General features: G+C 51.4%; 1 annotated feature.

The window, feature by feature from the left end:
* Nucleotides 17-106: an enhancer, noted in NCBI's record as "active region_27254". NCBI's record gives its function as "activates an Ori minimal core promoter by ATAC-STARR-seq in GM12878 lymphoblastoid cells {active_cell/tissue: GM12878}" and the evidence as "EXISTENCE:reporter gene assay evidence [ECO:0000049][PMID:35858748]".

Here is a 10235-nt window from a genome sequence, read left to right on the forward strand (position 1 = left end):
CTCAGCCCCCAGCTGGGGAGGAGGTGGCTGTTTCCTTCTCCTTCGGAGCAGGAAGGGAGAGGCAAGAGACCCTGCTCCCCAGCCCTGACCTGAGCTAATGTCTGCTAAAACATCTCCTCTTAAATCAGACTTGGTTTTCCAGATTTGGGAGCCGGTGGCAGTACATTCTGTCTCCGTCTGGCTGAGCAGGAAAACAGGAGACAGAGCTTCCTACCACCTGATTTACAGCCTTGGCGTGGTTTTGAGACACAAATCACCCGAGAGAGCGGCTCAGTTGTAGTTCTGCAGATGCGATCCGGTAGGATCACCTGGCAAGATCGCTTCCCGCCGGTGGGGAGGTCCACAGGGCCTGGGAAAAGGCCTCCTCCCAGACTGAAACGCCGCCCACTGCCCGCCCCCCGAATGTGTCTGGGACCCCACTGGGCCATGTTGGAGCCTGGGGGATGGACGATGTGGGGGATAGTAGGGCAGGCGGCAGTGGGTCCACAAGTCCTGATGACCAGCAGGGCCATTCCGACCTTCCTCGGTCCCCTCATTCCCTTCCTTGCCTGTACCTGCCTTTGTTTCTTCAACCTGAATCTGTCAAGCACTCCCCAAGCACCAGGCACTGTCGTAGCTGCCCTAGAAGGACACAAGAATACTAAGTCTCTGGCCCTGCACTTAGTTCCAGAGGAAGAGGAGATAGGAATGTAAATGCTTGCAACAAAAGGCTGAATGCAGTTAGTGTCATGACACAGGTATAGATAAGGTGTCCTGGGACTGTGAAGATCTCTCTCAGAGTCAGGGGAGGCTTCCGTGAGGAGGTGACGCTAATGTTCATCAGAACAGAAGACAGGAGATGCCCTGGCGACAGGGCTGACTTGGTTTCATGGGGATTCTCTGTTTTATCTCCATCTCCAGGGCACTTTATCCTTTTAAAATACTTTTTTTTTTTTTTTTTTTTTTGAGATGGAGTCTCGCTCTGTTGTCCAGGCTGGAGTGCAATGGCGCGATCTCAGCTCACTGCAACCTCTGCCTCCCGGGTTCAAGCGATTCTCCTGCCTCAGCCTCCTGAGTAGCTGAGACTACAGGTGCCTGGCACCACGCCCGGCTAATTTTTGTATTTTTGGTAGAGATGTGGTTTTGTCATGTTGGCCAAGCTGGTCTCAAACTCTTGATCTTGTGATCCGCCTGCCTCGGCCTCCTAAAGTGTTGGAATTACAGGCATGAGCCACCGTGCCTGGCCCCTTTTTACTCTTAGATTAGCCATACCCAGGTCTGAGGGTCTTGTCTGTCCTCCCTATACTGTGCTTTTTTTTTTTTCTTTTTTACATGGGGTCCTGCTATATTGCCCAGGCTGGTCTCAAACTCCTGGACTCAGGCAGTCCTCCTGCCTCAGCCTCCTGAGTAGCTGAGATGACAGGCGAGAACCACCACACCTTGCTTGTTTGCCCCTGTGTCAGAAGCCATGTGGTTTCTTTGAGGTTGGCATCAGGCCGCCATCAGCCCCTTTGCCCTGCCCCCACTACCAATGCTTGGGCTCAGCTGTCCCATTAAAGCGAGGTATGCTGTGGGCCTCAGTTCAACTCCCAGCTCTTGTGAGAGGGCCACAGGGCTCTTTGGATTAGGCTGCCATGAATTTGGTTGATCCAAAAGATGAGGTTTGGGGGACCCCTTATCTGCTTCCTACTCCTAGCACTGTGTGCTCGTTCTCTGCTCAGGGTGGTCTGCCGTGTGATGGACGCCTTGTTTGCACCCACTCCTTCCATCCGGACCATAAGAAGAATTCTCCTCTGCTTTCCACGGGACACAGTGTGGGCATGGCTTCACTCCACTCCAGTAGAGGGCTGATACTCAGTACAGGGCTGATGACGCCCCAGCATGGATCTGGGTGCTGGGCACACTGTGATACAGTGGAGGATCTCCCTGTCCTCAGGTGCTCCCAGCCCACTGACACTTGTGAATTAGCTTTGCACTCACAATTGTCTTCCCTCCCCACAGGGCAAGGAGGTGGGTCAGTGAGGTGCTATTGCGATTCCCAGTATGGAGACAGGTGGCCCGAAGCTCAGCATCTTAGTGGTTTGCCCACATTCTTGCCATCATCTGGTGGGACTTAGGTTCAAGTCTTACTTTTGCCACCGTGACATTGGACAATTTTCTCCTCCATGAAAGACCAACCTCAGTGTGTTACTATCAGATCAACTGTGTAACATAGCATATGTCTGGCACATAGAGGGCATGGTACAAGGTCAGTTTTCCTTCCTTTCTTCTTCTTCTTCTTCTTCTTCTTCTTCTTCTTCTTCTTCTTCTTCTTCTTCTTCTTCTTCTTCTTCTTCTTCTCCTCCTCCTCCTCCTCCTCCTCCTCTTCCTCCTCTTCTTCTTCTTCTTCTTCTTCCTCTTCTTCTTCCTCTTCTTCTTCCTCTTCTTCTTCCTCTTCTTCTTCTTCCTCTTCCTCTTCCTCTTCCTCTTCCTCTTCCTCTTCCTCTTCTTCTTCTTCTTCTTCTTCTTCTTCATTTTTGAGACTGAGTCTTGCTGTGTTGCCCAGGCTGTAGTGCAGTGGCGCAATCTCAGCTCACGGCAATCTCCGCCTCCCAGGTTCAAGCAATTCTCCTGCCTCAGCCTCCCGAGTTGCTGGGCTTACAGGCGAGTGCCACCACACCTGGCTAATTTTTGTATTTTTAGTTGAGACGGAGTTTCACCATGTTGGCCAGGCTGGTCCTGAACTCCTGACCTCAGGTGATCCGCCTTCCTCGGCCTCCCGAAGTGCTGGGATTGCATCGTTCATTCATTCTAGAGACAGGGTCTCACTTGGTTGCCCAGGCTGGAATGCAGTGGCACAATCATAGCTCACCACAGCCTCCAACTTCTGGGCTCAATTGATCCTCCTGCCTTGGCCTCCTGAGTAGCTAGGACTGCAGGTATGTACCACCATGCCTAGCTAGTTTTTAATTTTTTTGTAGAGACGAGGTCTCACTCTGTTACCCATGCCGGTCTTGAACTCCTGGACTCAAGGGATTTTCCTGCCTTGCTGCCTTGGCCTCCCAAAATGCTGGGATTACAGGTGTGAGCCACTGCACCCAGCCTGGTTTTCCTTTGCTTGGGTATGGTAGCACATCCTATGTCTATGTAAATGTCCCCAAACATTGATTGAGGTGAAAATTTCTGCTTCCACCCCTCTCCTTTTGCCTTGATTATGAGGGTGAGAGGGGAGCGGTAGGGGTGGGGGAGGAAGAGGGTGCAGCCGCAGGGTAGGAGAAACATCTGGGGCTTTACTAACACAGGAACTCCGTCCTGGCTCATCCCAGTGGGCGGAGGTCAGGCAAGTTGGTATCCTGCCCCGCCTGCTGGCGGAGGCAGCTTATGGATTTGGTGACAGATTCCTCCCAAGAGATGAATGCAGCAATTGTATGCTTGGTGTAGAAAAGATTCCAGATAGAGGAGATGTTTTCAATGGCAATAACCCTGAGATAGAGTATTTTCACTGAGTCAACAAACAGAGGTATCAGCGCCGGCTCCCTTTGATGGTCCTGTGAGCGCTTGTAAGCCTCCAAAGCTGTTCTTGGCACAGAGGGACCATGTCTAAAAGCTTCCATTCTCCTCTTCATTGGAATCACCCCTCCTGCCTCCTGGAGGGATTCCTAACTCACATTCTTGGACAACAAAGGCAGTTAACGGAATCCTGGTGGGTAAGGTCCCAAAGCAGGGAGATAATTTTCACATAGCTCCACGGATGCCTCCCCCAGGCTCTGCAGTGGTTTTCAAAAACATCTGATGACCAGATTAAAAGGGGTCTCTGAGGAGTTTAAGGGGTTTCATAGGGAGAAAGGCCCTCCTCACCTGGTTGTCAGAGTTTAAGAGGATCGCTAAGCACTTTTGGTCTGCAGAGATGGACTTGCAAATGTTTGCTTGGTGGCTGTTGGAAGGCGGAGGCAGGGCGGGTCAGGGAGGGGGTGGAGGGCCCAGAGAAGTCTTGTCTAGGGTTGTTCACAATGATGGGTGGCCGCACGCCAAGGTTTTATTTGATGCTGTTGATCACTAAATGTGAACAAGCAGTAACCACTGGGCATTGTGGCTCACGCCTGTAATTCCAGCACTTTGGGAGGCCAAGGTGGGAGGATCACTAGAGCCCAGGAGTTCAAGACCAGGCTGGGAAACACAGGGAGACCCCATGTCTTCAAAACATAAAAAAATTAGCCAGGCATGGTGGTGCACACCTGTAGTCCCAAGCTACTCGGGAAGCTGAGGCAGGAGGACTGCTTGAGCCCAGCGGAGTTGAGCTGCAGTGAGCCAAAATGGTGTCACTCCAGCCTGGGTGACACAGCAAGACCCTGTCTCTAAAAAAGAAAAAGCAATGACTGTGAAGCAGTCTGGCCAGCCAGAATGTGATGGGGTGGGAGTTGAGGGTGAGATTTGGAAATTGGAAGCGGGGACGGTGCTGGCCTGGAAACATCTGGGGAGAAAATTACCCTGTCTTTTAGAAGCATCTTCCATCCTGCCTTAGAATTTTTTTTTTGGGGGGGGGTGCACAAAGTGAGTTTTATTTTTCATAATCATAGAAATAATTTTTAGAATATCCCAGGGCACACTGGAGAATTTGGCAGTCTGACTGGGGGGTCCCGTCAGACACCCACAGGCTGGTACATGGGTGCAGGGTACCTGGGTTCACGGTGTGGCTTGTGGCTCAGGCGCATCTTGTGGGTGGCTCTTCCTCCACATCAGCACTGCAGGCTCGAGGAGGACAGGGGGTACCTTCCAGGCTCTTAGGAAGTTTCACTCTACTTCCGCTCAGTGGTCTCTGGTCGGCCGAGTGTTCTCCTGAGTCTCTCTTTTCTTCAGCTTGACCTTACCAAAGCCAGCGATTTCCCCTATGTCCAGTTTGTCATTTTGTTTGTTTGTTTATTATTTATTTGAGGCAAAATCTTGCTCTGTCATCCACGCTGGAGTGCAGAGGTGTGATCATAGCTCACTGCAGTCTCCAATGCCTGGGCTCAAGTGACCCTCCTGCCTCAGCCTCCCAAGTAGCCGGGATTATAAGCATGCACCGCCATGCCTAGTTAATGTTTTAATTTTTGGTATTGACGGGGTCTTATTATGTTGCCCAGGCTGGTCTTGAACTCCTGACCTCAAGCAATCCTCCCGCCTCTGCTTCCCAAAGCATTGGGATTACAGGCATGAGCTACTGAGCTTGGCCTGCTATGTTCTCAAAACAATCCATGGAGCCCGCTCTGTGCCCTGGCTCTGGGTGCTCCCACTGGTTCGGCTGCAGTAGGAGACCGCCTTAGCGGGTAACCCAACCCTGGATTTTCTGGTACTATCAGAGCCGGCTCAGGGAACCCACCGTCAGCCCCCAGGCTCTCTCCGGCCTGTGGTTGGTGTCCCCAGGCCGGTGTCCCCAGGCCAGTGTCCTCTTGGTGACACCACAGTCAGGCAGGGCAACATGGCAGCTCCCAGGGGTAGGGGAGCGAGGTCAGAAACAGAAGCTGTAATTAAATCTTTTTTTACCCACCCTCATCCCCAGCAGGAAGTTATTCTTGGTGCTCAGCGAGGGGGAAGGAGGGGCGGGATGTGAGCAAAACGGCTGCTTTTGACCTCATGGCCTTCCTGGCGATTGGGTGGAGAGGTTTTTAAAGATCGAGGAAGAGATTTCCTTGAGCATCTTCTGAAAATAGAGACTGGGGCCTCTAGTTTGGCTCTTTCTGGACTCGACTTCTACTTTTTGGACAGAGAGAAGGCCAAAGCCCCAGCCTGGGCACTCGATGCCTAATCCCGTCGGCTGCAGCTTCCCTGGTGCCTTCCCTTGGACATGGGTTGGGCTTGGACGGGGACAGTGTACTGGGGAGACGAGTGGGGCAATTCCCCCTAGGTGGGTGGAGGCAGAGGTGGCTGTGGCCAGCGAGCAGCTTGCGTTTTCCAAATTGGTGGCTTTTGTTTGGGCAGAGCAGGCCTTGAAAACCCGCTCCAGCATCAGCACCTCCTCCTCCTCTTCCCCTGGGGTCAGACAAGGGCCCAGGACCCAGGCCTGCAGACGCTGAGTGGGAAGGCAGAGGCAGAGCATTAGCAGCATCACCAGCACTTCCTTCCGGGCTTTTCTTCCAGGGGCCCTTGGGAGGAGCCCCGTTCCTCCTCCCGCATCCCCCTGTGCATTCTCCGCTCTATCAATTCCTCAGCCCTCTCCTCTTCCCCCCAAAACTAGAGCCAGGGCCAAGGAAGTGTAGCCAAGAGGATGACTTGGTTTGGTCTCCTGTGGAAAAGATTCCAGCATCTCCCATTCAACAAAAGCCAAAGTCTACAAGAAATAGGACGTGAGGTTCCAGTTCTTGGAACAGGGACTGCAAACCCTTCACCTTCAAGAAGAAAAATTACCAGACATGAAGGGAGCTACCTCCAAGGCGAAGACTTAGGATCCCATTCTGCTCCAGCTACTCTTTGGGGCTGCATTCTCTTTCACTTGTATTTTTTAAAAAATAAAAATCCAGTCTCCATTTCATCAGGATCATCTGTCCCCTTCAGTTTCTTCGTTTTTAAGCTCCCACTCCCTACCACCTGTGGAGCCAGCTGGATACTGCAGCATTTCCCACACAAGTACCTGCAATTTCCTTCTCACAATTCGTAGGTGGTTCATAGGTGGTCACTCAGACTGTGGCAGTGCATTGTGACATCACTGGCACCTCAGAGGTGGATGAATGGCAGGGGGAGGGGAGGAGAGAAGAGAGTTCCGCAGGCCCTTCTCCTGGTGGATGGTGGCCATAGTGGATGGTGGCCTTCTTCTGGTGGATAGTGGCCTCCTCCTGGTGGATGGTGGCCTTCTTCTGGTGGATAGTGGCCTTCTCCTGGTGGATGGTGGCCACAGTGGATGGTAGCCTTCTCCTGGTGGATGGTGGCCACAGTGGATGGTGGCCTTCTACTGATGGATGGTGGCTGTGGCTGTCCAGGCCTGTTCTCACATCCATAGTGCCTCCCCTGTCACCCTCTATATCAATCACTCCCCAGCCCTGCTCTCTTATCCTCTTTAGTATCTTGCTTTGTCCTCTTCTGACCGTTGCCTGCCCCCACCACCTTTGCCAAGGCCACCCAGACACCTGCCATCACCTTCCCATTGCTCTTCCCACCTGCTCTCTTGCTCCTTCACTACACCCCACACCGAGGCCACAGTGATTTTTCTAAACTTCACTGTGGCTGTGCCATCCCCTGCTCGAAGCCCTCCAGCAGTTTCCGCAGCCTTCAGGACTATGTCCAAGAGGCTCAGGGGGACTCTACTGAGAGCTGCTAGAATTTGGTCCCAGCTCACGGCTCTTCATCTTCTGCTGCCTCCAATTCTTGCACTAGATTCCTGCTTTTCTCCATCAGAATGTGCTGTCAAACTTGCCTCTGGATCTCTGCACAGGACCCTCCTGTTGCCAGGACACCCCTCCTTACCAATGTGTGTGGTGTGAGTGCATGCACTAGTACACATGCATGGTATCATACACATCCTGTCTAAAGCCCATGTGTGCATACATGTGTCCTATCTAAAGCCTATGCATGGATACATATGTCCTGTCTAAAGCCTATGCATGCATACATGTGTCCTATCTAAAGCCTCTGCATGTATACACGCACACACCCACATTCTAACTAAAACCCATGCATGTATACACGTACACCCATGTGTCCTAGCTAAAGCCTATGCATGCATACATGTGCACACACACATCTTATCTGAAGTCCATGCATGGTTTGATGCTCTTCAACGATTGCCAGTTTTCCAGGAAGAATTTCCTCATAGATCTCCCCCATCCCACCTTACACACACATTCAATGTTGTTGTTCCTTGGCCTCTCTATAGTTTTTGCTGCTGTTGTCTACTTCCTCTTTCTTGAGAACTCTCACCTGTGTTATTTTGTATTGTGATTGCCTCCCTCATGCCCAGTATTTCTGTCTTTTGGTAATAAGGTAACTCCTGTACCCTGCTTTTACTTGAGGAATCTACCCCTCTGTCTATGTGCTTTGTGGAAAATCAACTCTATCCTAAGCTCCAAGTCTGGGGAAAATGGCTTTGGCATAAGCAATAAAAGCCATAGAAATTGGTTCAGAGGTGAAGATGTTACCAAATTCAAGACAATCAGTTTGGGAAAAAAATTTATTTGCAGTTTCTAGGTAAGATGTTTCTTTGATGTACTGAGAGGTCTCTGGGTATGATGGCCTGTTCCCCCTGGATTTGGAGGGGGAAGTAAGAAACCTGGGCGTTTTGGCCACTGACATTATAATAAAGCTAATCCTGCAGAAGGCAGAGCTGAAGGACAGAGAGAAACTGGATCCTTGATGCCATTGGTAGAGCGGTTGAATCAAATTGAACCTGAAGCCAGATCTGGCCCTGTGTTTCCAGTCACATGTCCCTGTAAATCACTTTTACTATTTAGGTCAGTTTGAATTGGCTTTGTTGTTACACGCGGAAAAGTCCTAATGCACTCCCTCTTTTTCTGCCCTGATTTTTTCTTCTCTCTCTTATTGTTCCTTTCCCCTTCCCTTTCTGTTATATGAGGGTGTGCCTCTGTGACTTATCCTCATTGTCATTTACAAACTGAATGACCTCATTTATGACTGCAGTTTGCCATTGTCTTCCAAATCTGTAATGTTCAAGGTCTAGGCAGGAATACCTAACAGTTTTTTTTTTCTTCTCTTCTCTTCTTTCTTTTCCTTTCTTTTCTTTTCTTTCTTTCTTTCTTTTTTTTTTTTTTTTTTTTAGACAGGGTCTCACTTTGTCACTCAGCCTGGAGTACAGTGTTGTGATCATGGTTCACTGCAGCCTCAATCTCCTGGCCCACTTAAGCCTTCTGAGTAGCTGGTACCACAGGCGTGGGCCATTATGTCTAGCTAATTTTTTATTTTTTGTATAAGTGGGGTTTCACCATGTTGCCCAGGGTGGTCTCAAACTCCTGGGCTCAAGCAATCCTCCCACCTCTGCCTCCCAAAGTACTGGGATTACAGGGGTGAACCACCATGCCCAGCCCTCTAACAGCTTTCTAGCATCTCTTATTCGTCCCACAAAAAACCCCAAGAAACTCAGCAAGTTCAAAATTGAACAGTTTTATTATTCCCCGGGAACCTGCTCCTTGTCTTCCCTTCTCTGCCTTTGTGAACAGCTCGGCTGTCCTTCCTGCTGCTGGAGCCAGGTGCTGGGCATCATCCTCCTTCTTGCATGCCTTCCACACTCAGTCACCCCATCCTGTTGATGCCCCTTCCTGAACCCATCAGATCGGCCCCTCTGTCCCATCCCCACCTTCACTGCTTTGGTTCAGGTGCCCATCACCTCTCACTAGACAACGGCAGGTCCTCCAACATGGTGTCCTCCAGTCGCCCCCCCTCACCGTGGCCAGGCATTTTCCAACACGTACATCTGACCACTCACGGCCCCTGCCTGAAGCCCTTTGGTGGGTTCCCCTTTTCTTTCTGAGCTCCAGCTTCCAGAATCATCGCTGTGCCAGTTCTTCTAATCTTCTGGAAGGTTCTAGGTGTTGCTTCCAGGCCTTTGCCTTGCTGTCTCTCCTGTGTTTAGCCTTGCCCTCCTCCTCCCCATTCCCCTTTCTCCAGGTGAGCTCTTCCTGTCTCGAGGCCGGGGTGCTCCTCCTGTGTCCAAGGAGACTTCCATGCCGACTCCTCTCCTGGTTTACCCTGTGTTAGGTTTTGAGGCTGTGAGCTTTTTGAGGGTAAGGACAGAGACCCCCAGCCTCCCCCACGATGTCCCACCCTCAAAGTGCCAACTCTACCGCCTGCCACTGCAGCTGTGAGCTCAGGGAGGATAATGTGGCCCTTACCTCTGTACCTCAGTCCACAGCTCAGCACTTGGCCCATAGGAAGTGCTCACTAGACAGTCAGCGAAGTGAATGAAAGGACAAATGAAGGAATGAGTGGACTGGAGCTCGGGCCTGGGTGCTTCCCCCGGGAGCCCACTCCCTGCAGTGGCGACCTTGTCTGTGAGGGCAGCAGCCGGAGCTGAGCCTCCCCTGTAGGGAGAACACTGTAAAGTATCTAAGGCCTTCCTGGGGTGCTCCCCCATGCCTAGGGTCACTGCAGGTGATGATTCCAAGGAGTGACTCTCCTCTCCAGGTTGAGACGGGAGGGAGCGGCAGTGAGGACCCTGGAGGTCACCCCGGTAGCAGCTGCAGGTGTGAAGAGGAACCAGGAGTTATTGTCCTCACTACCAGGTTCACTAGGGGGAATTCTGGGGCAGTGAAGACCACTTTGATCCCTAGAATTCCCAGGAAAATGCTTTTTGC

Source organism: Homo sapiens, chromosome 8 (assembly GCF_000001405.40).
Source record: "Homo sapiens chromosome 8, GRCh38.p14 Primary Assembly".
Classification (NCBI taxonomy): Eukaryota; Metazoa; Chordata; class Mammalia; order Primates; family Hominidae; genus Homo; species Homo sapiens.